Here is a 25,900-nt window from a genome sequence, read left to right as displayed (position 1 = left end):
GAGGCTCAAATTTGTGCTCTGACGCTGCCCTTCCCACCTGAAGTGTCGAGGGCCGGGCAGCCCCTCCCTCCACCAACAGCCCTCTAGGTGTGCTGAAGCGGGGGGGGGGGGGCCCACGGCAGCCGCAGGTGCAAGGCACACACCCCACTTGCTGAAGTCCCCCGCAATAACCACAGAAGCAGGATAGGGGTCTGGCTTTCTCTTTAGTTCTCATCACACTAGGGCTCTCAGTCACAGAGAAGGCACTTAAATGGGAAGGCCACCTGATGCAGGCCAACCATATTCACCCCCCGCCCACCCGCTCTGGGGGAGGGGAGCACAACGACATCACCACTTGACATCCCCCTTGGCACTGGTATGTGGGTCCCCTTAACCGTTAGACCCTGGGGAGAGCCCAAGGCCTTGACCTCCGGAATCGCCATGTTAGGAGGAGGGGCTTCAGAAACAGTTGGAAGGCAGGATATCCTGGGAGCTGCCCCCAGCCAGCAGGGGATCAGGCAGGGGGCTGTAGGAGATGGGTTGGCACAGGGGAAGGGGACAGCTTGGTCGGGCTTCCTGGAGATCCCCAAACCCCACAGAAGGTCCCACCTCCTACAGATCCCCCAAAGGCACCGGTGAAGGATGGGCAAGGAGGCACTGATGAGCTGGCGTAGAGACCCCCCACACACACTTAGCTGGTGGGCCTAGCATATGCTGGGCACAGAAGGTGCTCAAGAAATGTTTTTTTGAATGAATGAACGGAGCAAAGGGGTGTGAGGGACAGAGGACAGGGCCTGGGCCCCTTGGCCCAGCTTGTTCCATTCAGAAAATAGCAGTTTAAAAAATGTAAAAATCCTTTCCCTCCCTCCCCCCAACTTCTGGGCCCAGGAAAGGGGCAAGGGAGGGGTGTCTCTACCCTGACCCTTCCCTCTCTCCTTCCCCTAAAAATCTATATACACATGTACATATTTATATGGCACCACAAGGGGGGTCCTGCCTATGCCCCCACGCTCAGAGCTGGGGGAGCCAAGCCCCGGGGCTGGTTAAGGCAGAAGTCTGAGGTCATTGCTTGGATGATGCAGGGAGCAGCCCTCAGCTGTCGGCCCTGGAGAAGCTGCACTGTGGGGCCTGAAGGACAGACTCCTGCTGCCTTCCCCAGTGGTAACAGACCTCCCCTCCCTCCAAGGCAGAGGCAAAGGTTGGTAGGGGCCCTCTCAGTCCCAAGGGAGGAGGTGGGGCAGGGGGAGGGGCTGGTTCTCCCCTCCCAGCCTAGAGCTGTGCCCCTGGGAAAGCTGGGCGGGGAAGAGGGGGCTCTATGCAAGGCACTTGATGTCCACCGTTCCCAGACTGGGGGTCCAAGGCAGGAACCCTGCCCCCAGGAAGCAGAACCGGAAGGGGCCAAGGGGCCCAATTTGGCAGCAGAGAAACATGGCAGCATGGACAGAGACAGAAAAAGGGAGCAGCAGGCAGGGCCCCCCAGGTCCCCTGAGAATAGGGGAGGAGGTTTGAAGGCACTGACACGGGGCCTGGAGCTCACGGTCCTCAGTGCAGCCTGCTGCCCCTACACCGCCTGGTGGGGCTGGTGGGGGAGACGCCCGCTTCCCCATGGCACTGAGTGTGGCGGCGGCCCATGGGTTTTCCTAACAAAGGCCTGGGCAGTCTTCCTGGGAGGAGGTGTGGGTATCATTGGTCAGGGGCAGGTCCTGGCCCCATCACCCTCACTAGCTCCCTGGCCGTGGCTGCCTGAGCACTGAGTACACGTCGTCCACACGGCTGAGTTGCTCGAAGAAGGGGAGGAGGTCGTGGAGCTCTGTGTCACTCATGTTGTCAAACCACGAGGCCACCGGTACCTGGGGAAGTGGGTGTAGGAAGATGAGGGGGGCAGGTGGTCCTGGGTGCAGAATTTCCAGGCCAGCCCTATGTAGCCACTACTCAGATCATGCAGTTTCTGAAAACCCCTCACCCACAGTGTTCAAACTTTTTTGACAGCAATCCCCAGGAAAACACATTTATAACGTAACAATGCAAAAGCTTCACAATTCCTAACCTTATCTGTGCGAAGCACTCGGATACTTTTTTTTTTTTTTGAGGCAGGGTCTTGCTCTGTTGCCCAGGCTAGAGTGCAGTGGCACAATCTTGGCTCACCACAGCCTCTGCCTCCAGGGCTCAAGTGATACTCCTACCTCAGCCTTCTGCATAGCCGGGACTCCAGGCATGCGCCACCACGCCTGGCTAGTTTTTGTATTTTTTGTAGACATAAGGTTTCACTATGTTGCCGAGGCTGGTCTTGAACTACTGGGCTCAGCTACCTGCCCACCTCAGCTTCCCAAAGTGCTGGGATTACAGGCATGAGCCACTGCACCCGACCGGATATTTTCTATTCTATTTCATTTTGTTAAAATTCCCAATCAGAACCCACTAAATTAATTCTGTGGGCCATCAGTAGGTCACAACTGGCAATTCGAAAAATTGAAACTTTCCAAACTCCGTTGCCCTGTGGGGGCCCCTGTGCATGGCAGATGCTCTGCTTTGTGCGAGGGGAAAAGACCATATGGCTACAGGGCAGGTGGATGAGGGGAGTGGGCGGCAGGCACAGGCAATGAATGCAGGAAGGACTGGGAGGGCACCCACCCCCCAACTGGGGATCCAAGAGGCCAAGGTGGCCTGAATGGACTGACCCCTTCCTGGGTCTCAGCTCCTGTCCCAGTCCCAGTCCAGCCCGCACTCACAGCATTGTCTGGATGGAAGACATAGGAGGCAGGTGAATTGTCCAGGATGAGCACCCGCCGCAGGTCTCGACCCAACCGGCTCAGGTCCTTCACGTAGTTCCCCCGGTGGAAGACGCAGGACTCTCGAAACAGCCGGGCCCGGAAGGCCCCCCATTTGTCCAGCAGGTCAGCTACTGGGTCTGCGTACTGGGAGCAGGAGGTGGGTCATCCTGGGGCCCGCAGGTTCATTGGGCTGCATGCGGGAGGTAGGTAGGAGGGCAGGGTTGCCCCGGGACCCCTGTGGGGCTCACCTTGGCGAGGCTAGCAGTGAACAGCACACATTCAAAGAGCTCGCCCATTCGCTGCAGGAACTCATCCACGTGAGGACGCTTCAACACGTAGACCTGGGGGGCGGGCCAGTGAGGGGGCTGCGGGCCAGTGGGGCAGTGTGGGGGTGGCCGAGGGCTGGCAGGGCATGGGCCAGGGAGGCAGAGGCGCACAGGAAGGAGACTGGGCCCGCAGGCTCCGCTTGGCCAGCTACCCTGACCACTGCTGGGGAAACTGTACCCACCCCCCGCCAGAAAACGATCAAAACTTCCACTCCACTGGCCAGTCCTACCTCACGAGGTCCCTAATTCCCAATCCCTTCCCCTGCCTCAACCTCAGCCTAGTGCAGGAATCCAGGGGCAGCCCCCTCACCCCAAGGCTGCAGGGCACCGGTCCCCGAGCCAAGTAATGGAGAACAGGCTGGACAGCACACAACCTATCCTGAATTACTTGAACTGGGTCCCGGGCAGGGTGGGGCGAGGGAGCACAGCACGGGGGAGCCTAGAGGAGGAGCCCACTCTGCAGGCTTGGAGTCAGCACAAGCCCTTGAGGTTCTGTGTGACTTTGGGACAAGTCTCACACCCTCTCTGGGCCTCTGACATTCCACATGTATCCAATTCCCATCCGAGGCGCTCCGGATTGGTGGGAAGAGCCTAGGGTCTGGAGGCAGATGCCAAGCCCACCACTGCCTCTTCCTGGCCCTCACCTGGTGGACCACCCCATCAATCTCCACAGGGATGATGAAGTCCGCGTTGTTCACTGGCTGTGGGGGGAAAAGAGCTGCTGGAGTTGGAGGAGGAGCCCCAGGGCATGGGGTCCAGCACACACCTCCCTCCCAGGCCAGGGTGGGGGATGCCCCCCGAGACCCGGGCTGAGGGCTGTTGAGCAGGGCCCACCTTGAAGGAGCTGTGCACCAGGGTCTCGTCCAGGTCGATGACCACGCAGATCTTGTCTGAGTCCTGGGCCTTGGCCTCAGGGAGCAGGTATTGGACTGGGGTCTGCTGTAGGGAGGGCGGGGCTGGCTGGGGTGCCTCTCTCCGGGCCTGGTCCTTCCTCCCACGCAGGCTTCTCCCCCTAGCCGTCTCCAGAGGAACCCCAGGCCCCAGGAACAGATACTTCCCCCTTCCCAGCTTTGCCCCTGCCAGCTCTAGGGCTTGGGTAGGCCTCTTGGCTCTTTGAGACCTCTCTAAAAACCAAGGTAGGAAAAAGCTTCCACTTATGAGGGAGAATTCAGTTTCCCCACAGTGGGCAGGGCCTGGCAGGGGAGGCTGCCACCCTCCTACTCTGCACCTTTCAGGTCTGCAAGTCCATCCTGAAAAGCTCAGTCAGGAGCCCCTTCCCCTAAAGCCCTGAAGACTGAGTCCAGGTGCCCCCGTGGCCCCACCTGGCCCCCACGCACCTTAGGGATGGCGCCATTCTCCTCCACAAGCAGGGGCGCCCCGCTGTGAGCAGGCAGGGCCTCCCCATCATCCCGGCAGACACAGCAGAAGAGTGAGTGGAGGATGCCCCGGCTTCGGGGCTTCTGGGAAGCTGCTGACTTCTGGTCACCTGAAGTAGGGAGGCACAAGTTGGAGGCTCGGTGCACACTGGCCTGCAGAATCCTGCATGTGTGCCCAGGTGTGAACCCCTGAGCCAGGAGGATCTTGCCGTGGCCCCTTCATCCAGACACACGAAGGCAGCTCCTGACTTTCTCTGAAACGCCCCTGTCAGGGCTCCACAATCAACTGCAAGGCTCCTGCAGCTCCCAGACAAATAGGTCTAGCAGGTATTAAGGCGCCCACATAGGGAGTGCGTGGCCTGGAGAAGGAGGTCCTGGGGTGCTCTCTCCCTGCCTCTCACAGCCTCCATGACTGCTGCTGATCAGCCCCATTGCGGTGCCTCCTGACCCCACCTTACCTGAGCACCCCTGCTCAGGACAGCCAGGGCCTGGGACCCAGGGCAGTCCACCCCTGCCCTCCCTCCATCCTCTCCACCCCCGTGGGTACGAAGTCCTCACTGCGGCTGGGCCCAGAGGCAGGGGTGCAGTCCCGCGGCCTGGGGCCAGTGTCCAGTGGCCATCTGTTTGCCCTGCCCCGCCCAGACCTCCGACCTGGAGCCCAGCAGCCTGATTGACAGATACCCCTCCCACCCCACCCCCCTCCGGCCCCCTGCAACTAGCCTTTCCACCTTGCCCTCAGTTCCGGGGCAGCCAGACCCAGGCGAGGGTGGGCAGACCTGGGGGCAGCGTCCAGATCCTGAGGTCCACACGGGGAAAAGGAGAAGACAGACCCCCCCACCCCGGCCCAGCCACGCTGGGGGACGCAGCCTCGTCGGGGCGGCGAGGCTTTGCGGGGTGGTGCGTGCCCACTAGGCGCACGACTCTCCCCGCGGGCGCCAAGCGACTCTTGGAAGTGCCGGCCGTCCTCTCTGTGCCTCCGAGGGGGTCGGCGCCTCCACGCGTGACGCGAAGTTTGTGGGGAACGTAGCTGTGTGTTGGCGGGAGATCCCTCCAAGCCTCCCCAGCCTGCTGTCACCTCGGCGCCCCCTCCCAAGACCCTACCGGACCGCAGCCCGGGGGGGTGGGGGTGGGGGGTGGGGCGGAGTCTCAGCGGGTGGCCCATAGGCGCCCTCCTCAGCTCCCCCATCTCCCAGCCCCATTGGCGCCAATGGTGGGGGGGCGCCCATGCACCACGCAATGCCTGCCAGGAAACCCCCGAAGAGTTCCCTCTCTATTCCTGCCTCAGTTTCCTCACCTCGAGCGAACAGGAGCGCCCCAAAGGCGCCAGGCCCCGCCCCGCGTCTCTGAGCCTCCTCTGAGTTCAAACTCTCTCCCTGCTCCCTCTCGGGCTGGGAGCTTCGGGCACAGCTAAGGCGGCCGCCCGGGGCGGCGGCGGCGGCTCCCCTGGGGAAGATCCCGGCCCCTTCTCTCCTCCCACGGCGCCCCGGCTTCGGCCCCCTCCCCGCAGCCCCGGTACCTTTGCCCCGCAGCGGGCCCCGAGCCTCCTCCTTGCTGATCTGAGTAATGACGGCCGAGCTGTCCATGGGGCCGGGCGCGCTCCGCTCCGGCCGGACTCTGGCCCGGGCGCCCGGCCTCCCCCCCGGCTGGGGCCGGAATCGGGGCGCGGGGGGGAGGGGAGGGGTGGGAGGGAGGGATCCCCGCGAGCTCCGGAGGGGAGGGGAGCCAGGTTCTAGGGGGGAGGGGGAGGGAGGGGGCGCGGAGGAAACTTTGTTACAACATGGAGTTTCCTTCCCGCGAGGCGGATGCAAACATGGAACCCAGGCGCCGTTTCAAGGCTCCCCCTTAAAAGGGCAACGGCTTCGGCGTGACCTGGACTCGGCTGCGGCTTTCGCCACTTCTGGGACCGGCGCGGCTAGGCGGACTGGGAGGCGGGCCGGGCCGGGTTCCTGCCGCGCTCCAGGGGGCGTCGCCTCCCTTCCTGCCGCCCGCCGGCGGGGCTGAGTCTCTGCGGCTGCGTGGCAGGCCCGGCACCCGGCTCACCGTTCCAGGCCGCCGAGCGCCCTCGGCCAAGGCCCGCCCGCCGGGAGCGCCCACGCCGGGGAGTGCCCGAGTGCGGCGCGGCTCCACCTCTGCGTTTTCTGAAGACCCGGGACTAGAGGCTTCTCGGTTTCCTCGTTGAGGACTTGGAGATAGCACTACCTCATCTGTAAAATGGGTCTTCTCTCCTGTCTGGTGGTCGCAGAGATCACCTCGCAAGGACGTCAAGAGCCAGCGAAGGCTCTGCTGGCCCGAAACAGCTGTGCAAACCTCAGAATCACGCTCTTGAATGGGACGGTCGCCGCCCCCCGCAGCCCCAGGGCGAGGTGCCCCCGGTCTGTAGGACGTGAAATTCTAACTCTCTGCCCTGGGAAAGCCCCCTGCCGACCTCTCCCCACGGCCCCACCCGGGGCCCCGCACGTCTACCCGCCGCGCACGGGCCACCGCGCGTTCCCGCCTGAAGTTTTCGTACGCGCTGTTCCTTTCGCGTAGCCAAATTCCACCGACCTCGAGGAAATGCCACCTTCTCCAGGGGCCTTCCCAGACCCCCTCCCCTGCCCGCGGTCGACGGCCGCCCTGTGATTACTGGGGGTGCGGTGGGAGTCACTGGACTCGCTGCCGATCCTAGGAGCCCAGCACGGCGCCGCACGCGGTGGGCCCAAAGCCCGACCGTGGGGGACCTCAAACCAGAGGCCCTCAAGGCCCGTTCCACCCGGCCTGTGGCGCAGTGCTGGGCACTTGGGAACGGAGGTCCCTGTCTTCTCGCTGCAAGCCCCTCCGTGGTGCGCGCCGTGGGTCTGCGGGTTGGTCTTTTTCCTCGTTTATGAAGTTCTTTTCACTCGTCGTTACTATTTTGTAAGTTCACCATTTAAAAATTAATAATGCCAAGCCCGACAAACACCCCTCGGCACTTCCTCCCCTCCCCCTCTCCCGCGGGCCTCCGTGGCGGGGCGGGGCGGGCGCGTCCTGTCCCGTCCGGCCGCCGGGTGCGACGCGGCGCACGTCCGCCAGGCCCTGCCGAGGGGGAGCCGGGGAGGGGAGGCCCCGCGCGGGGGCCGGGAGGGGAAGGGAGGGGAGCGGCGTCTGCCAGAAGGCGCGGCGGCTTCGTGCGCTGAGGCTGGGAGTAGGGGCGGGAGGGGACTGTCGGGGACTGATACCCCGGTCCCCGGGCTGGATCCCTCGGCCCTCCTCCTGCTCCTGGGTAGCCCACGGGGCGGCCACCATTGCGCTTCATCACCGTGATCGCCACACGCTGCTGGCGTTTTCCTAGGCCTGCTCTGGCTGCGCCCCCTAATCTCATTTACCCCTTAGAACGGCCTCCTTCTTAACCCATTTCACAGATGAGGAAACTGAGTTTCAAGAAAGGAAGCGACGTGCTTCGGGTCTACCGGCAAGGGCAAAGGCGGGATTCCAGCCTGGGAGCGGGACATCTGTCTCCCCTGCGGTCCGGCCCCCTGGGTGGGGCCTCGGCTTTATCTCCGGATGCGGGGCCCTCATGACCCCAAAAGGAAGCGTGTGGCGAGGGACTGAGTGGAGTCGTGGCCTCGCCCTTGGCCTGGGTTGGGTGGCGCGCTTTCCTCTCCCTCTGTGAAGGGGGCTGGTACCTGGCCGGCTGTCCCCACACCCACCATTCCCAGACGCGCCATCCTGAGCTCACAGGATTCCTCAGGAATCCCCCACCTCCTCCACCCCATCTTATCGCCACTTCAAGCCGTTGCCCGTGCAGTTCTTTTCCCAGGGAGACCTAACTCCTCCTCCCAGGCTCCCAAAGCGGCAGAGGTAGCCGCGCCTTCTGCCTGGAGCCCTGGACTTATCTCCCCACGCCTGGGGCGGGTAGTTAGTTACGGAGTGAGCGAGAGGCCAGGATTGCGTGGGGGGAGGGGGGTCCTTCGAGTGTCCTCACTGTAGGGGTTGTCTACACCCAGCTGCCCTCTGTCTCTACAGGTGGAGGTCGCTTTATGCACTCTATTTTTTGTCTGTTTTATCATTCGCACCCCAGGAAAAATAAAATCATGGGGGCCACAAGTCAGAAACGGGGAGGGGCAGGAACGGGATTCAGCAAGGTGCTGTCTGGCACCTGTGGATTTGGAAGCGTCTCTTCCAACACAGTCCCTCAGTTTCCCCATCTGCCAAACAGGGCTGGTAAAAGCCCAACCCAGGGGGAGGCGGGGAGCCGTGCACAAAGTCGGGGTGCATTCAGCAGGCTCTTGGGGAGTGCCAAGTGCGACCACGCCCTCCCTGGGAGGCCTAAAGGGAGCTTCCAGAAGAGCAACTCTGCACCCCTCTTCCTGGAGGGTCGATTTGAGGCCAGGCTGGAAGAACCAGAGCTACTATGGGGGGAATGGGGGCAGCTCTAAGTAGACGCCTTCCAGTGTCCAAATGACTGACCTTGGCGCGACCTCATCACTAGCCCTTTGCCCAGGTCCTGGGTAGCCCTTTAGCCGGGTCTCCGTGTCTTCTTGACCAACCTGCCCATTACTCTGCCGTCCCCCGTCCTGCCCCACAAGATCTAAGACGTCCCCAGAAAGCTTCAGGTCTTGGCAGATGTGCACACACGTGCCCCCATGCTCCTGGCACTCTCATTCCTCCTGGGCTGTCCTGTCAACACTCCCCCCTACCGCCGACCCCCCCTTCAGCAAGATTCAGTCCCCTTCCCTGGCTGGCGTCACGGGCAGCGCCCTTCACCGCATCCTGCCACAGGGACTTGTTTGCACAGCTGTCTCCCGCCGCTGGAGTGTGGGGTCCTTGAGAACTGACATCTTTAATTCGGGACTTTGCCGCCCTCCCCAACTTGTAACACAGAGCCTGGCAGAGGACTGGCACTCAATGCCAAGAGGGGTGTGTAGGGGGTACAACGGGGGCACTTCCAGGAGGCTAAAGGATCTGGGAGATGCCTTTCTTCGCTAAACGTCCCCCATCCATCTCCTCCTTCAGCTGGCATGGACCCATCTTCTCCAGTGCCAAACCCAGAGGAGGCGGGCGGCCCTCTTGCCCAGGTACCCTCTGCAGCGCTTGCCCAGGTCGCACCAGACCGGTCCCATCTCTTCTCTCCTTGAGGGACCCACTCGCATCGTTGCCCTTTTAAGAAAGAGGAAATTCTTCTCATAAACAAGCGTCCGGACCTGAGCGCGGAGCCAGGCCGCCTGCCCTGCTGGGTCCCCAGGAAATCGGGGGTTCTTCCAGGTGCAACACCCGGCCCAGGTTCAACTCTAGGGAAAGGCCTGTTGGCCTCTCCTCGCTGCGGCCCTCCGCAGGTCCTGGGCTGGGGTCTGAGGGACCCGACGAGGCTGGAGGAGGGACTTGGGGGAGCCTAGAAACAGCCTAGGGAACGTCTATAAAGTGCAGCCCCTGAATGGGGCGAATGGGTGCCCAGCCGCTCCCTAAGGCAGAGGGGGCTCCCCGCCCACACAGCTTCCTCCCACCCACTCTCCCCGAAGGATTCTGGGGCCCCTGGCGCGAGCCCCGAGCGCCCGCCTCCCCGCGTCGTTCCGCCTGGCGGGGAGGGGTGAGGCCGGGGCGGGATGGCGGGCGTCGGGACCGTCTCTGCCCCTAGGGGGAGCAGTCAGCAGAGAGGGAGCGGTAACGGCGCGGCGTGGGAGTCGCGGCCGCCGGCTCCCCTGAGGAAACAGCAAATAATTTGGGCCTCAGAGGCACAGACTCTTGGGTTCCTTATGACCTGGTGCCTGACGGAGAAAGAAGTGCGCCGCCGTTTTACTGTCTGGAAAATGGGTTGCAGGCGGAACAGAAAGGCTGCGGCGAATAGGAGCGGACCAGACCCTGGTGTAGGGGTCTTCTGGATGCTTTAGAGACTTCGTGCCTTCCCGGTTCCCATTCCCTGCTCCTTTGGACGAGAAGGGAACTAGTATTTATTTAACTTTAATCAGGCCGGGTTTGGTGGCTCACGCCTGTAATTCCCAGCACTTTGGGAGACGGAGATGGGCGGATCACTTGAATCCAGCAGTTCGAGACCAGCCTGGCCAGCATGGCAAACCCCGTCTCTGCTGAAAATACACAAATTAGCTGGGCGTGGTGGCGCGCGCCACTCCCGGGGCTGAATAAAGAGAATCGCTTGAACCCAGAAGGTGGAGGTTGCAATGAGTTAAGATTGCGCCACTGCACTCCAGCCTTGGCAACAGAGGGAGACCCTTTCCCTGTCTCAAATAAATAAATAAATAGATAGATAGATAATTTAACATTCATCAGACACTATTTCAAGCTCCAGTTTGGAGCCTGTGTCCCGCCCAAGTCCTCAAGCCCTCACCCCACCCACCCTTGGGCTGTCAGGTCACGCCTGCAGGTGCTCAATAAATACCTTTTGAAATGTTTTTCGTTTGTTTGTTTTTGTCCCAAGTGCCAGACACTGTGTTAAAGTGCTTAACCTCCATGGCAAGGGTGGTGGTGTCTCCATTTTACAGATGAGGACACTGAGACCCAGAGGGTAATCACATGGCTGCGCTAGGAAACAGCAGGTCCCTAAAGCCCCCAGGTTGGCTGGTCTCAGGAACTGTCCCACTCTATCCTGCTGCCTGCACGCGCCCCCTCCACATCCAGCAGGCCAGTCACGTCATACATGCCACTCCCAGCCAGGCCCTGGTGTGGGCCTAGCCAGAGGTCTCCCCTTTCTGGTCCTCTTCAAGGAGCCCATACAGGAAGTGGTGGTGGGAGCTGTGGGCCAGAAAGGTGGCTCCGTGGGCAAGGCAACAGGTCCAGACCTGGGGGAGGGGCAACCATGAATTGGGGAGATGCCAAGACCTCTGGGGAAGCCCCATTGTGTCCCCCCAAACCCTCCCCATTGGTTGCCTCTTGTCCTTCCCTCATCCATTCCCAAGGCATCCCCTGGCCCTACTGTACCAGGTAGGTGCTGAGGCCCAGGTAGGCTGCGGCCAGCAAGGCTGCAAGGCCGAAGTAGGCAGGGTGGGGCAGGCTGGGCAGATAGCTGACCACGAAGTAGAGGTTGATGGCGCAGACTAGCACCATGATGGAAGAGGTGACGACCTTGTTCAGCCTGGGGGACACGAGAGAGGCTCAGGACTGGCTGGTTGCTGCTGGCCCACCTGCATCAACTCCTCTTCATCTCCCAGCGCCCACACTGGGGGTGGGGATACACTGAGGCCGCTTCTCTGGTCTGTGGGACCTGGAGCAGACAGACCCCCTCCCCACCTCCTGCCTCCTGGGCCCTCCAGGCTACACACTGGCGGGATTTGGCAAGAGCTGAGTCTGAGGCGAGAGTGAGGCGCTCAGGCTCTAGAAACAGCCCTCTTCCCTGGATTCCAGTCTTGGCTCCTCAACTTGCTAGCTGTGTGAACCTGGGTAAGTCCCTTAACCTCTCTCAGCCTCTGTGGCTTCATTGGGATAATGGGGAGAATTGTAGCTCGTACCTCTGGGTGGCTGTGAGGATGAAATGTGGTGATGCAATCCAGCACTTGGGAAAGGGGGTACTCACAGGCCATTGGCAAACTCCTGCATGAGGGTGGGCATGCTGGTGAACGTGAGGATGGGCAGCACGGCGAACGGGAGCTGGGGAGAGCAGCAGGAGCCTAGGCTGAGGAATTCTGCCTCAGAATATGGCAAGGGTGGGGGCAAGATGGGCGTGGCTTGACACCCTCTGTGTGGGTGTGAGCTCAACTGCCCTAACCACACTGAGCCTACTTCCCCGTCTCCTGCCTTATCAGGTTGTGGGCTCCAAAGCAGGAGAAAGTGTTTGGGGGCTCTGGCACCAGGTTGCTTCGGTTTGAATCCAAGCCCTGCCACTAGTAACTTAACTGAGTGCATCAGTTTTCCCATCTGTAAAATGGAATAATGAGCCTGGGCAACAAACATAATGAGCTTTTGTCTCTACTTAAAAAAAAAAAAAAATTAGACCTGCCTCAGTGGCTCATGCCTGTAATCCTTGCACTTTGGGAGGCCAAGGCGGGTGGATCACCTGAGGTCAGGAGTTTGAGACTAGCCTGGCCAACATGATGAAACCCTGTCTCTACTAAAAATACAAAAAATTAGCTGGGTGTGATGGTGGGCGCTTGTAATCTCAGCTACTTAGGAGGCTGAGGCAGAAGAATCGCTTGAACCTGGGAGGCAGAGGTTGCAGTGAGCCAAGATCTCACCACTGCACTCTAGCCTGGGTAACAAGAGTGAAACTCCGTCTCAAAAAAAAAAAAAAAAAAATTAGCTGGGTGTGATGGCATGCACCTATAGTCCCTGCTACTCGGGAGCCTGAGGTGGGAAGATTGCTAGAGACAGGGAGGGCAGGCTGCAGTGAGCCATGATTGAACCACTGCACTCCAGCCTAGGTGACAGAGGGAGACCATCTGGGGGGTGGGAGGGGGGAAGGATAATGGTGATTCCTACCCTCCTGCCCCCCAGGGTGGCTGTGGGGACAATGGAAGCCTTGTAGGCAAGATGTGCCTGGGACAGGGCCTGGCAGGCCCATGCAAGGCTCAGCGTGGGGGTTGCTGGAGGTCCTGTTTCGCTCAGCAGTGGGCAGGGCTGGTGGGGTTGGCGCATCTCACCAGCAGGCTCTGCAGCACGTTGAGCAGATCATTGAGGCCCGACAAGTCCCTCAGGTCCCGGAAGACAGCCACGAGCACGGTGGGCAGGATGGCGCAGGAGCGGGTGAGGAGGACACGGGCGAAGCGTGACCACCGCAGCCTCAGGAAGCCCTGGGGTGGGGGTGAACTCCTTGGTGAGGAGTAGACAGGACTGGGGATTCCAGAGGAGAGATCCTCTGTAGTCCCTCAACCGATTTATCCCTGGGGGCATGCTCTGTTTTTCCACTGTTGAACTGGGACAGCTCTGTCCCTAGGTGGCAAGAGGGGATGGGTGGGGAGAAATGGGGAGCTCCCATCCCATAGCTGGTTGCTGAAGACTAAACAGTTTTGGGGAAAAGGCTTCTGTTAGTCCTGGGTCTGCAGCTTCCAGCAAGTCACCTCATCTGTCAGGATCTGTTTTCTCATCTGTAAAATGGGGCTTATAGTGTCGCCCTCTGGGCTACATGAAGGAAACAAAGCTGAGTGGGGTGGCTCACGTCTGTAATCCCAGCACTTTGGGAAGCCAAGGCGGGAAGATCACTTGAGCCCAGGAGTTCGAGACCAGCCTGGGAAACATAGGAAGACCACATCTCTACAAATAATTTTAAAAATTAGCCTGGTGTGGTGGCATGAGCCTGTAGTCCCAATGACTCGGGAGGCTGAAGTTGAGGCTGCAGCGAGCTGTGATGGCGCCATTGCACTCCAGCCTGAGCAACAGAGTGAAATCCTGTCTCAAAAAAGAAAGAAAGAGCCGGGCGCGGTGGCTCACGCCTGTAATCCCAGCACTTTGGGAGGCTGAGGAGGGCAGATCACCTGAGGCTGGGAGTTCGAGACCACCCTGACCAACATGGAGAAACCCCGTCTTTACTGAAAATACAAAATTAGCTGGGTGTGGTGGCCTGTAATCCCAGCTGGTCAGGAGGCTGAGGCAGGAGAATTGCTTGAACCCAGGAGGTGGAGGTTGCGGTGAGCCGGAGATCGCGCCATTGCACTCCAGCCTGGGCAATAAGAGCGAAACGCCGTCTCAAAAAAAAGGAAAGAAAGAAAGAAAAGAAAAGGCCGGACGCAGTGGCTCACGCCTATAATCCCAGCACTTCAGGAGTCCAAGGCGGGCGGATCACGAGGTCAAGAGTTTGAGACCAGCCTGGCCAACACAGCAAAACTGCGTCTCTACTAAAAATACAAAAATTGGCCGGGTGCGGTGGTTCACACCTGTAATTCCAGCACTTTGGGAGGCCAAGGCAGGCGGATCACTTGAGGTCAAGAGTTCAAGACTAGCCTGGCCAACATGGCGAAACCCTGTCTCTACTAAAAGTACAAAAATTAGCCAGGCCTGGTGGCAGGTGCCTGAAATCCCAGCTACTGAGGAGGCTGAAGCAGGAGAAGCTTGAACCTGGGAGGGGGAGGTTGCAGTGAGCCGAGATCGCGCCACTGCACTCCAGCCTGGGCGACAAGAGCGAGACTCCGTCTCAACAACAACAACAAAAACAAAAACAAAAAAAAAGGAAGAAAAGAAAGAAAAGAAAAGAGGACCCACAAGGCTCGGAGTTCTAGCCCCCAGTAGTGTGCCTGCTGTCCTTGGACCCCTTGCCCTCCTGGGCCCGCCCCCTGCCCTACCTCCATCACGAACTGTCCCGCGTAGGTGCCCGTCATGGTGGAGCTCTGCCCAGCCGCCAGGAGACCTATGGCCCAGATGTAGAGGGCCGCGGGGCCGAACAGGCAGCCCAGGATCACGCCCTGCAGGGACGAGTGTGGTAGGACCGGTGGCCCTGCCCGAGGCGGGGAGCCTCTCTGGGTCACGCCCTCCCCACCCACCCGCGCTCACCCCCTGGTAAATGTCCACGGCCACGGTGGCGTTGTTCATGGGGAAGATCTTGGCGTAGTCGTGGAGGCTGCTGTTGGCACAGATGTTGAACTGTGGGTACCAGGGCAGTAGAAGGAAGATGTGAGGAGCACGCTCAGCCTTGGGAAACTGGACTGCCTAGCACTGACCAGGGTTCCAAAACTGGTGGCCCAAGGCTGAATCTGGCCAGACATATTTTGTTTGGCTAACAAAATAAGTTGGGTTTTGTTTTGTTTTACTTTTACGTTTTGTAGCGATGGGGGTCTTGTCATGTTGCCCAGGTTGGTCTTGAACTCCCGGGCTCAAGCGAGCCATCTGCCTCAGCCTCCCAAAGTGCTGGGATTACAGGCGTGAGCCACCGCACCCGGCCGGGTTTTTTTTTTCTTTAATGTGGATTTGTTGCCAACATTTAAAATTGAGAAGGCCTGGCATAAGAACCCAGTTTCCAGCTTCTTTTAGGTTCGTAAGAGCTGGCATCACCACAGAGACAGCTGGCTGCCATGCCCTCTTCACACTGTCCACTTCCCACAACTCTGCGCCTGCCTGGTCTTGAAGACAAGGGTTTGCAGTCCTGATGTTGATCTCCCTCCTTGTGCCAAGGAACAGAGTGAGACCCAGGGAGGAGTGTGACCTCCCAAGGTCACAGAGCAAGGCAGTGGCAGTGCCCAGGTCCTTGGAGGCCTGGCCACCCCTTCTCCCACAGGGCTCAGCATTCAGGAAGCCCCCAACCCTGGCTGCAGTTGTTAGAGCCTCATGACTGAGATCCACTCAGAAGGGGAGACAGACACAGGTCCCAGATCCCAGAGAGTCAGGGAGGAGCTGGCTAGTTCCTTTTCCAGTATTAGCACAAATGTCATCTCTTCCAAGAAGCCTTTCCTGACCACCTGGGCTAATGCAGACCCCACCCCCATACCCCCAACTATGCTTCTTCACCCCCTTTATTTCTTCCCACTCTGTACTTCCCTTGGGTATTCATTCCTGTCTGCTCACCTCCCTCCCTATTTAAGCTGCAGAGAGCTGGGTCTTTGTAGCATTGACTGCTGTATCCCCAGGGTCTAGGATGTGCTTGGTATATAACAAATGCTCAATGATTATTTGCTGAATGAATGATATCTGCCAACAGGGAAGATCATCAGGGCAGAGACTCAGAAGGGCTCAGCTGCATTGCCTAGGGTCCTCGGCAAGGCTTACAGGACATGAGTACGTGTGTGGCCTCAGGTGCGGGGGAAAGTGTGTCTCACCGCAGCCTGGTTGGTTTTCTGGTAGAAGGCCTGCCCAAAGACAGCCATGACAAAGAGGTTGATGATAAAGGAGACGGACAGGGCGATGGTGGCCTCAATCAGGAAGTACATGTTGGCTTCTCTGATGTCTGCTCGGCGGGCCCGGTCTATCTCTCGAGACTACGAAGATCAAAGGGAGAGGGAAGTGCCAAAGTCCCTCAGAGCCACCACAGTGTCCCCCACCCTCACACTTCTATGTTCTCCCCAAAGCCCAGTACCTTCTTAAGTCCCCTGCGTGGCAGTCTGGGGCAGGTTCAGGTCAGCCGATGGTTTCCTACATCTCTGTTCTTGCCACAGAGGCCTTACCACTGTAAGCCACTGTGTGGGTGAAGCAAGGCTGGCCTTTGAGGTCCCTGGCTACCTCAGGTCCTGACACGCTCCTTCACTCACCTTGTTCCATCCTCAGACGTGTCCAGCTTACTTTATTTTATTTTTTAGAGACAGGTTTTGTTCTGTCACCCAGACTGGAGTGCCGTGGTGCAATGCATGGCTCACTGCAGCCTCCAACTCATGGGCCCAAGTGATCCTCCTGCCCCAGCCTCCTAAGTAGCTGGGACCACAGACACACACCACTACAACCCGCTAATTTTTAAATTTTCTGCAGAGACAGGGTCTTGCTAGGCTAGCCTTGAACTCCTGGGCTCAAGCATTCTCCTGTCTTGGCCTCTTAAAATGCTGAGATTACAGGTGTGAGCCACTGTTAAGCTGTTAGGGACCCAAGCCTTGTTCACTTCTGCCAGTGGCCTTTGCACTTGCTTTCCCTCCGCTTGTAATATCTTTTCCCTGATCTACTTCCCCAACTTTCAGTCATTCTCTATCATATTTCTCTGTTTTGTTTACTTCAGAGTCCCTTTCGCAATTATTATTATTATTATTATTATTATTTTGACAGGGTCTCACTGTGTCACTGAGAGTGCAGTGGTGGGATCTCAGCTCACTGCAGCCTCGACCTCCAGGGCTCAAGCCTCAACCTCCTGAGTAACTAGGACTACAGGTGTGCACAACACCCAACTAATTTATTTTATTTTTTATTTTTTGTTGGTAGAGACAGGGTTTTATCATGTTGCCCAGGGTGGTCTCGAACTCCTGGGCTCAAGCGATCCACCTGCCTCTGCCTCCTGAAGTGCCGGGATTACAGGCGTGAGCCACCTCGCCCAGCTCTATAGTTCTTGTTCTTTTTCTTTTTTTGAGACGGAGTCTTGCTTTGTCACTCAGGCTGGAGTGCAATGTCACCATCTCCCCTCACTGCAACTTCCGCCTACTGGCTTCAAGCGATTCTCCTGCCTCAGCCTCCCGAGTAGCTGGGATTACAGGCACGCGCCACCACTTCCGGCTAATTTTCTGTATTTTTAGTACAGACGGGATTTCACCATGTTGGCCAGGCTGTTGAGGTCTCAAACTCCTGACCTCGTGATCCGCCCGCCCGCCTCGGCCTCCTGAAGTGCTGGGATTACAGGCGTGAGCCACTGCGCCCGGCCTATAATTCTTTCCTTTGTTGGTTTACTTGCTTGTCATCCGTCTACCCCACTAGCACGGAAACTCTAGAAGGGCAGAGGCCTTGACGGTCTGTTCCTCCCAGCGCACAGTAGACACTTTTTCTTTTCTTTTTTTTTTTTTTTTGAGACAGAGTCTCGCTCTGTCGCCAGGCTGGAGTGGTGCAGTGGCAAGATCTCGGCTCACCGCAACCTCTGCCTCCCGGGTTCAAGCGATTCTCCTGCCTCAGCCTCCCGAGCCGCTGGGACTACAGGCGCGCGCCACCACGCCCAGCTAGTTTTTGTATTTTTAGTAGAGACGGGGTTTCGCCATGTTGACCAGGATGGTGTCGATCTCTTGACCTCGTGATCCGCCCGCCTCCGCCTCCCAAAGTGCTGGGATTACAGGCGTGAGCCATGGCGCCCCGCCTGTCCCTCAATTATTACAGGCTCCGCAAATCCTGAGGGAAGGAGCCAGAGGGGAGGGGCTCCAGGCTTGGAGGCGGAGCCAGCATGGCTCCGACTGAGTGAGGGGGTCTCCTTTCCCCTCCCCTCTGCTCACCTTGACCAGGGCCGAGTGCAGGTAGATGTTGTGGGGCATGATGATGGCGCCAACAATGCCCACCGCCTGCAGCAGCTCGGGGTGGCCGCAGCCCGGGCACGAGGGCAGGAACAGGCCCCGAAGAAGCGCTCCCTGCTCAGGACGCGCCACCACATACTGCAGGGAGGAGCCTGGTCAGGACAAGCCCCGCCCCTCGCAACCACGCCGCGGTCACCATTTCTCAGCCTCCATCCCACCCCAGCCCCCCGCAGCCCGCGGCCAGAGGGAAGGGAGAGGAATGATCTTGGGAGGTCCACAGTGGGGTTGCAGCACTGGCTTCCTACCTCATAGCCAAAGGTCAAGGCCATAATGGTTATAAGGAGTCCAAAAAAAGCTTCCAGCTTCCGCAGCCCTACGGAGCAGAACAAACAAACTAAACAAACCAACGAAAAAAATCTGTGACATCAACAATTCGTAATGGCTAATACTACGAGCGCTTCTAGGCACAGTGCCAAGTGCTTAACATATGTTACCTCACTCAGTCTTCACAACCACCCTCTGAAGTCTGTGCTATTATTTCCCCATGTTACAGGTGAAGAGAGGCACGTCCAAGTAACTCGCTAGAGGCCACCCAGGGAGAGTGAGGGAGCTCAGGTGCGCTCCCAGGCTGTTCGATGTCAGAGCCCTTCTCCCAGTACAGCACCCTCACCACCACCACTCCCCTATGAGGTGGGGTGTGCACCCACCGTAGTTATCGAGGAAGAGGAAGAAGAAGGTGTCCACGATGGTGATGAGGACGCCACCCCAGAGTGGGATTCTGAAACCAGAGTGGCCCGGGTCAGCCCAGCCTGGTCCAGGGGTCTCTAACTCCTACGGAGCCTCAGGGCTGGAGACAGGAATCTGGCCTCCTGGGAGCAGGACCCTAAGCGCCCCCAGACAGCTAGGGCAAGGGGAGTGGGAGTGTGGCATAGAACAGTCGAGGCAGGGCAGAGCTAGAGGAGAGACCTGGCACCCGGCGCAGCAGGGAGTTTGGGGCTGCAGTCCCAAAGTCCTGCATGACTCACATCTGTGTGACTTTAGACAAGTCACTTTACATTTCTGGAAAACAGGGCAGCAGCCCTGCTTCAGAGGGGACAGCAGGATAAAATAGACTCTGGGAGGGACTGGTTAGGGGGGGAAGTAGCAGCAGCTGTTCTCTGCCTGGCCTGAAGAGTTGGGGTACACTGGGGTGGTACCGTCCAGCTGAGAGCAGATTGAATGCAATGGCCGTGCCGATGACTTCCTGCATGTCGGAGCCCACAATGGCTAGCTCGATGGTCAGCCAGAGGACGGTGCGGGGCACCTATGGGGAGGAGATGATCCTTCATTAAGGGTGGGCCGGTTATTTGCCTGTCGTCTCAGACTACATTTGTCTGTCGTCTCAGACTACATTTACTAGACAGTCTGGCCAATGGGCTTCCTACCTTATGTAGGAAGAGCATACAGGAGATGGAAAGGCAGAGATAAACTTTTTTTTTTTTTTTCGAAATAGAGTTTTGCTCTTGTTGCCCAGGCTGGAGTGCAATGGCATGATCTCGGCTCACCACAATCTCCGCCTCCCGTGTTCAAGCGATTCTCCTGCCTCAGCCTCCCGAGTAGCTGGGATTACAGGCATGTGCCACCATGCCCGGCTAGTTTTGTATTTTTAGTAGAGACGGGGTTTCTCCATGTTGGTCAGGCTGGTCTCGAACTCCCGACCTCAGGTGATCCACCCGCCTTGGCCTCCCAAAGTGCTGGGATTACAGGCGTGAGCCACCGCCCCAGGCTGAGATAAACCATTTTCTCCCCCTGCTTCTTGTATTTCTGGCAGTGGCACCAGGCAACCCGGACTCTGGCAGCACTAGTGGCCATTTCATCAGCATCAATAATGCTTCCAGGAGCTCAGCAGCAAAGGATGGCTCTGGGGCTTGTGCCAGAGGTGTAGCAGCTTTCTGATCTTTTTGTAACACCCTCTTCCCTTGCCCCTCAAGCCCTCCCAAACCTTTCAATCCCTGCATTCAATACCTTTGAAATGTCCAGTGCTGTAATTTCTGTTTTCCAAACTGGACACTCACAACAACGAAGTCCCCAGGGTCCACCCCAACCAGTGACCATTCCTGAGCTGATGCCTCCCCATTTTTTGTCTTGGGCAAGTCTCTTTCCCAAATTTTAATTACCCCTTCTGTGAAATGACATGCCTCTCATGTCCCTCTAGGCTATGTGCTATCAGTTTGAGCCTCAGTCTTTCCATCTATCAAATGGAATTGGGGCCGGATGCAGTGGCTCATGCCTGTAATCCCAGCACTTTGGGAGACTGAGGTGGGTGGATCATCTGAGGTCAGGAGTTTGAGACCAGCCTGGCCAACATGGTGAAACCCCAGCTCTACTAAAAATACAAAAATTAGCCGATGATGGTGGTGGGCGCCTGTAATCCCAGCTACTTGAGAGGCTGAGTCAGGAGAATCACTTGTACCTGGGAGGTAGAGGTTGCAGTGAGCTGACATCGCACCATTGCACTCCTGACTGGGCGACGGAGCGAGACTCCGACTGAAAAACAAACAAACAACAACAAAAACAAACAGACTTGGGATGCCCCATGTGAGATGATGTATTTATTTGATCGTGGAAGCTGAAAATGGCTGTTTGGGGTTTGGGGCCAGTGGTTCTCCCTGTCCAGGCCCCCCAAGCTCACCTTAGGGTAGTAGAGATGGCAGACCTCGCCCAAGTCCTTGCCTGTCACCACGCCCAGACGTGCAGCCAGTCGCTGGCAGAGCAAGCCCAACACGGTGGCCCAGAGCAGCACCCAGAGAAGCTGTGAGGAGGCAGGGAGAGGCCTTCAGCCAGAGAGGCCAGCCTCAGAAAGCCCCTGAGCTCGTGGTACCCTCTAACCAAGCATACTCCTCGGGGAGGGGGTGGGAGAGATGGAGTCCCATCCTGGCTGGGCGCTGGTAGCTCACCCTGTAATCCCAGCACTTTAAAAGGCTAAGGTGGGAGGATTGCTTGAGTCCAGGAGTTCAAGAGCAGCCTGAGCAACATAGTGAGACCCCCATCTCTAAATAAATAAATAAATTACGCCAGGCAAGGTGGCTCACACCTGTTATCCCAGCACTTTGGGAGGCCGAGGCGGTGGATCACTTGAGGTCAGGAGTTCAAGACCAGCCTGGCCCACACAGTGAAACCCCATCTCTACTAAAAATACAAAAATTAGCCAGGCGTGGTGGCATGCACTACTCAGGAGGCTGAGGCAGGAGAATCACTTGAACCCGGGAGGCAGAGGTTGCAGTGAGCCGAGATTGTGCCACTGCACTCCAGCCTGGGTGACCGAGTGAGACTGAGTCTCAAAAAATAAAATTAAATAAATAAATAAATAAATATACATATATATATTTTAAAGAGAGGAGTCCAGTCCCCTACCCCCCACACAAATGCCCCACCTTCTGGCAGGGCTGCCCTGGGGACCCTTTTCGGGCCCATTTGAACTTAACACCAGCTCCCAGGCCACATTGGAGAAACATGGCCAGCAGGGGCCTTCAACACTTAGCCTGGTCACCTCCCTCTCGAAAGTGTCCCCACTCAGGTCCCGACTTAGTTACTTTGAATCCCGCCACGGCGCCAGCCTGAAGATCTGACTCGATGTTTCCTGGGTCCAGGAAAGCAATGCTCATGAGGAAGCCAGGCCCCGTGAAGGCCCATAGCTTCCGCAGGCTGAAGGTGCCCTGTTGGGGGGTGGGAGGAGTAGAGTGAGGGGGTCCTGGGTATAGGGATGGTGGCAGCTGGCCTTGGCCATCCCCTAGAGGAGCCCCAACAGGCTCATCAGCCCAGCCCTGCCCTCCATGGCCCATTCCTGGGTCTGCCACCCAAGGGATGGGGAGGGCATGGGTGGAGGAAGCAGCATGCTCTGATGAGTCACAGAGGATCTTTTTCTGGATCTGTTAAGCTCAGCAGCCGGCTTGCACCTGAACTGCCTGCCCCTCAAGCCCTGACTTGTCAGGTCCTCAGAGACCTCACAGGGGGCTGTCTAAGGGGGTGAGGGGGCCAAGCTTCCCTAGCCCAGCTCCTCCCTTGCCAGCTCCTTTTCAGACCACGGGGCCTCCTCTCTGTGGTCCGCTGAGGCTATGGTCCCCCCACCCTGTTCCAGAGCATGGCATATTGACTTAGAAATCTGCTGAAGATATTGGAGGCTGGGAGCGTTGGCTCGTGTCTGTAATCCCAGCACTTTGGAAGGCCGAGGTGGGTGGATCACTTGAGCTAAGGAGTTTGAGACCAGCCTGGCCAACATGGTGAAACCCTGTCTCTAGTAAAAATACAAAAATTAGCCTGGCATGGTGGTGCATGCCTGTAATCCCAGCTACTCGGGAGGCCGGGGCAGGAGAATCGCTTAAACTTGGGAAGCGGAGGTTGCAGTGAGCTGAGATCGCGCCACTGCACTCCAGCCTGGGCTACAGAGCGAGACTCCATCTCCAAAAAAAGAGAAGATACTGGAAATGCAGGTGACAGCATCCTAGATGCTAGATGCCAGCCTGCAGCCTCCTTCACTTCTCCCTATGCCCTTTCCTAAATGCTATAACATGTCCTCAAGGCTCCAATCCCAATTCCCCCTGGGCCTCTTTTCCTTCATAGGAAAGCTGAGATTCATTGAGAAAGTCATTTAATCGCTTTTAGACAAATACTGAAGCACCCCAGCTAAGCACTGGGGACGGAAGCAGGAAGGGGCAGTTGCCACTGTCCACCACTGCTGCTCAGACCTGGAAGGGACTTGCCACCCATGATCATAAGGAGACCCCATTCTCCAGCCCATGGGATCCTTCAGGATCCTGTCAATCTTGCAAGCCCCCAGGAAGTTTCCAGCATCCCACCGGTTTTGTGTCTGGGATGGGGATCTTCTCACTCAGGTAGGTCTCTCTGGGAGGTGCTTGCTGTGGCCCTGGGCTGGTCGGGCTGGTCGGGCTGGAGATGGAACCATAGCTGGACCCGCTTAGCCTTTGGGGACCCTTGTCACCTGTGGGGGCCCATGAAGCATGGTGAGTGTCCTGCCTCTTTCTGGTGGCCCAGAGTTAAAGCCGCCTGATCCTTTCCCTCCTCCTCCCGGAAAAGTGGAGAAACTAAGGTCCCTGGCCCCCATCTTGGGTCCATCACCTCCACCTCTCAAACAAACATTCCAGATGTGTGGGACATGGCAGCTTCAGAATTACTGTCCTCTCATGTGAGGACAGATGCCCAGAGGCAGATCTCCTGCCACAGAGAATGCAGAGAGACCCTAGGCTCTAAGAAGGGCAAGCTGAGGCCACATGTCTGCCCCTTGGCTGGACCCCTCACCTTCTCCGGCAGCCCAGAAAGCTCCAGGGGCTTTGATCCACGGACTTCAGACAAAGGAAAGGTAGACCGCTTAGGGGTGTGAAGGACTCCACCCAGTGAGATTGAGTCTGGTGTCCAGAACTGTGTTCTAGACTAGGACTCCCACGGGGGACCAGAGGCTTCCACAGGGGACCAAGGGCTTTCTTGCTTCCTCAAGTCTCCACCAGCCTAGTGATCTCCTCCACTCCACCCCCCAATCAGGCTCTGTCCCTAGGGGCCACTACTCACCTGTCATTGAAATGCCGACTTCAGGTACTCTGGGAGTGTGAGCGGTGCTCTGGGCAGCTCCTCAGCCTGCACCCCCTCTCTGGGCACTGGTGCAAGTAAGTGTGCCAGCCCACGCCCTGTTACCCATCCGCAGCCGAGTGCCCTGCCTCTTACATCAACATTCGGTTCACATCGGCCGATTCACACACACACACAACATGGGGCGTTGTGAAACATTTTCCAAAGGCAGAAGTGGCCAGCCCTGGCGGAAGGGTCTGGTTACCCATGGAGTGGACCTTTGTTCCCCTCCCAGCCTGCCCTGTGCCCCACAACACATCTGTTCCCCTTCCAGGCACCCCGTGTTCTGTGCCTCCCAAGTTAGCTCTGATTTCAGATGCTTCCTGCCCCTTGCGTATTCATGTCAATACCCCATGACCACACCCCCCTCTGCCACACACACACACACACACGTACACACACACGTACACACACACAGAGTCAGGTCTTTCTTATTCTCTTTGATCTGGAGTTCCAAGACCCCTCGTTGGCCTAATGCGAGTCTTCATGTCCTCAAAGGCTTCAGTTTCCCTTTGAGGGCCACAGAGGAAGGCACTGCAGAAGGGACATGCATTGAAGATTCAGACCCAGGACGTCCCCAGAAGATGGGGCACTGGGATCTGGTCCTGGTTCAACCACTGATTCACTTGAGATTGTCACCAGATCATGTCCCTTCTCAGAGTTGTTTATTCTATTCCACCCCCACCCTTTTTTTTTTTGGTTTTTCGTTTTTTGTTTTTTTTTTTAGAGACAAGGTCTCGCTCTGTCACCCAGGCTAGAGTGAGGTGTGAAGTGCAGTGGTGCCATCTTAGTTTACTGCAGCCTCAAACTCCTTTTTTTTTTTTTTTTGAGACAGAGTCTTACTCTGTTGCCCAGACTGGAGTGCAGTGGCATAATCTCAGCTCACTGCAACCTCTGTCCTCCATGTTTAAGCAATTCTCCTGCCTCAGCCTCCTGAGTAGCTGGGACTACAGGCATGCACCACCACACCCGGCTACTTTTTGTATGTATGTATGTATGTATGTATTTATTTACTTTGAGATGGCGTCTTGCTCTGTCACCCAGGCTGAAGTGCAATGGCGCGACCTTGGCTCACCGAAACCTCTGCCTCTTGGGTTCAAGTAATTCTTCTTCCTCAGCCTCCTGAGTAGCTGGGATTACAGGCACCTGCCAACCACACCTGGCTAATTTTTGTATTTTTAGTAGAGATGGGATTTCACCATGTTGGCCAGGCTGGTCTCAAACTCCTGACCTTGTGATCCGCCCGCCTCAGTCTCCCAAAGTGCTGGGATTACAGGTGTGAGCCACTGTGCCCAGCCAATTTTTGTATTTTTTTTAGTAGAGACGGGGTTTCACTATGTTGGCCAGGCTGGTCTCGAACTCCTGGTCTCAAGTGATCCACCCACCTCAACCTCCCAAAGTGCTGGGATTACAGGTGTGAGCCACCATGCCTGGCATATAGCCTTAAACTCTTGAGCTCAAGAGAGCCTCCCTTCTCAGCCTCTCGGGTAGCTGGGAATACAGACCTATGCCACCATGCTTGACTGTTTCTTCTATTAACTGAGGGGCTCACAGGAGTTTGAGACCAGCCTGGGCAACATAGTGAGATCTCATCTCTACAAAAAATTTAAAAATTAGCTGGGCATGACCGGGTGTGGTGGCTCATGCCTGTAATCCCAGCACTTTGGGAGGCTGAGGAGGGTGGATCACGAGGTCAGGAGATCGAGACCATCCTGGTTAACATGGTGAAACCCTGTCTCTACTAAAAATACAAAAAAAAACCCAATAAACAAACAAACAAACAAAAAACAATTAGCCGGGCGTGGTGGCGGGCTCCTGTAGTCCCAGCTACTCAGGAGGCTGAGGCAGGAGAATGGTGTGAACCCGGGAGGTGGAGCTTGCAGAGAGCCGAGATCGCGCCACTGCACTCCAGCCTGGGTGACAGAGCGAGACTCCGTCTCAAAAAAAAAAAATTTGCTGGGAGTGATGGCCCACACCTGTAGTCTCCATTACTTGGGGCAGGGCTGAGGTGGGAGGTTTGCTTGAGCCCAGGAGGTTGGGGCTGGCATGATCAGTGAGCCGTGATCATGCCCCTGCACTTCAGCTTTGGTGAC

The 25,900-nt window shown here is 57.7% G+C and overlaps 2 protein-coding genes and 1 non-coding gene across 36 annotated transcripts, besides 9 other annotated features; all 3 read right to left on the bottom strand.

Moving 5' to 3' along the window:
* On the bottom strand, positions 185-9,775 carry CTDSP1 (CTD small phosphatase 1). Of its 28 annotated transcripts, NM_001400268.1 has the most exons (8): positions 6,962-7,384; positions 5,969-6,181; positions 4,414-4,562; positions 3,911-4,012; positions 3,721-3,777; positions 2,999-3,091; positions 2,709-2,894; positions 185-1,829 (listed from the first exon to the last, which is right to left on the bottom strand). In NM_001400268.1, exons 2-8 carry the CDS (start codon positions 6,033-6,035, stop codon positions 1,701-1,703), a joined length of 783 nt encoding a protein of 260 aa, NP_001387197.1. In that variant the 5' UTR covers positions 6,036-6,181; positions 6,962-7,384; the 3' UTR covers positions 185-1,700. The 28 variants fall into 28 exon arrangements, 14 of the variants coding, with proteins under 14 accessions (NP_001387197.1, NP_001387202.1, NP_001387201.1 ...); NR_174456.1 differs by lacking the exons at positions 5,969-6,181; positions 6,962-7,384 and adding an exon at positions 9,612-9,775 and having other exon boundaries at positions 3,911-4,015; NR_174457.1 differs by lacking the exons at positions 5,969-6,181; positions 6,962-7,384 and adding an exon at positions 9,612-9,775.
* Positions 3,404-3,480, bottom strand: MIR26B (microRNA 26b). Its single transcript, NR_029500.1, has one exon. It is a non-coding gene; the product is annotated as a microRNA 26b (primary transcript).
* Positions 5,811-5,970: a silencer, noted in NCBI's record as "silent region_12320". NCBI's record gives its function as "represses an Ori minimal core promoter by ATAC-STARR-seq in GM12878 lymphoblastoid cells {active_cell/tissue: GM12878}" and the evidence as "EXISTENCE:reporter gene assay evidence [ECO:0000049][PMID:35858748]".
* Positions 6,131-6,210: a silencer, noted in NCBI's record as "silent region_12319". NCBI's record gives its function as "represses an Ori minimal core promoter by ATAC-STARR-seq in GM12878 lymphoblastoid cells {active_cell/tissue: GM12878}" and the evidence as "EXISTENCE:reporter gene assay evidence [ECO:0000049][PMID:35858748]".
* Positions 6,281-6,650: a silencer, noted in NCBI's record as "silent region_12318". NCBI's record gives its function as "represses an Ori minimal core promoter by ATAC-STARR-seq in GM12878 lymphoblastoid cells {active_cell/tissue: GM12878}" and the evidence as "EXISTENCE:reporter gene assay evidence [ECO:0000049][PMID:35858748]".
* Positions 7,341-7,610: a silencer, noted in NCBI's record as "silent region_12317". NCBI's record gives its function as "represses an Ori minimal core promoter by ATAC-STARR-seq in GM12878 lymphoblastoid cells {active_cell/tissue: GM12878}" and the evidence as "EXISTENCE:reporter gene assay evidence [ECO:0000049][PMID:35858748]".
* Positions 9,232-23,853, bottom strand: SLC11A1 (solute carrier family 11 member 1). Of its 7 annotated transcripts, NM_000578.4 has the most exons (15): positions 23,751-23,853; positions 23,024-23,166; positions 21,761-21,883; positions 20,860-20,979; positions 19,385-19,491; positions 18,896-18,966; positions 18,494-18,561; positions 18,171-18,326; positions 16,098-16,256; positions 14,839-14,928; positions 14,631-14,750; positions 12,996-13,145; positions 11,933-12,006; positions 11,341-11,494; positions 9,232-11,201 (listed from the first exon to the last, which is right to left on the bottom strand). In NM_000578.4, the coding sequence occupies exons 1-15, from the start codon at positions 23,755-23,757 to the stop codon at positions 11,091-11,093; spliced, it is 1,653 nt and encodes a 550-aa protein (NP_000569.3). In that variant the 5' UTR covers positions 23,758-23,853; the 3' UTR covers positions 9,232-11,090. The 7 variants fall into 7 exon arrangements, with proteins under 7 accessions (NP_000569.3, XP_005246850.1, XP_016860255.1 ...); XM_005246793.5 differs by lacking the exon at positions 23,024-23,166; XM_017004766.3 differs by lacking the exon at positions 23,751-23,853 and having other exon boundaries at positions 23,056-23,143.
* Positions 9,571-9,700: an enhancer, noted in NCBI's record as "active region_17122". NCBI's record gives its function as "activates an Ori minimal core promoter by ATAC-STARR-seq in GM12878 lymphoblastoid cells {active_cell/tissue: GM12878}" and the evidence as "EXISTENCE:reporter gene assay evidence [ECO:0000049][PMID:35858748]".
* Positions 9,851-10,190: a silencer, noted in NCBI's record as "silent region_12316". NCBI's record gives its function as "represses an Ori minimal core promoter by ATAC-STARR-seq in GM12878 lymphoblastoid cells {active_cell/tissue: GM12878}" and the evidence as "EXISTENCE:reporter gene assay evidence [ECO:0000049][PMID:35858748]".
* Positions 10,870-11,538: an enhancer, noted in NCBI's record as "H3K4me1 hESC enhancer chr2:219259311-219259979 (GRCh37/hg19 assembly coordinates)". NCBI's record gives its function as "activates a minimal SCP1, AML or CMV promoter by ChIP-STARR-seq in naive and primed H9 embryonic stem cells {active_cell/tissue: H9 hESC(naive and primed)}" and the evidence as "EXISTENCE:reporter gene assay evidence [ECO:0000049][PMID:30033119]".
* Positions 11,539-12,207: an enhancer, noted in NCBI's record as "H3K4me1 hESC enhancer chr2:219258642-219259310 (GRCh37/hg19 assembly coordinates)". NCBI's record gives its function as "activates a minimal SCP1, AML or CMV promoter by ChIP-STARR-seq in primed H9 embryonic stem cells {active_cell/tissue: H9 hESC(primed)}" and the evidence as "EXISTENCE:reporter gene assay evidence [ECO:0000049][PMID:30033119]".
* Positions 12,877-13,546: an enhancer, noted in NCBI's record as "H3K27ac-H3K4me1 hESC enhancer chr2:219257303-219257972 (GRCh37/hg19 assembly coordinates)". NCBI's record gives its function as "activates a minimal SCP1, AML or CMV promoter by ChIP-STARR-seq in primed H9 embryonic stem cells {active_cell/tissue: H9 hESC(primed)}" and the evidence as "EXISTENCE:reporter gene assay evidence [ECO:0000049][PMID:30033119]".

The sequence above is a fragment of the Homo sapiens genome, chromosome 2 (genome assembly GCF_000001405.40).
Source record: "Homo sapiens chromosome 2, GRCh38.p14 Primary Assembly".
Taxonomy (NCBI): domain Eukaryota; kingdom Metazoa; phylum Chordata; class Mammalia; order Primates; family Hominidae; genus Homo; species Homo sapiens.
Note: the sequence above shows the minus strand (reverse complement) of the source record. Positions and strands in the feature narration are given on the sequence as shown.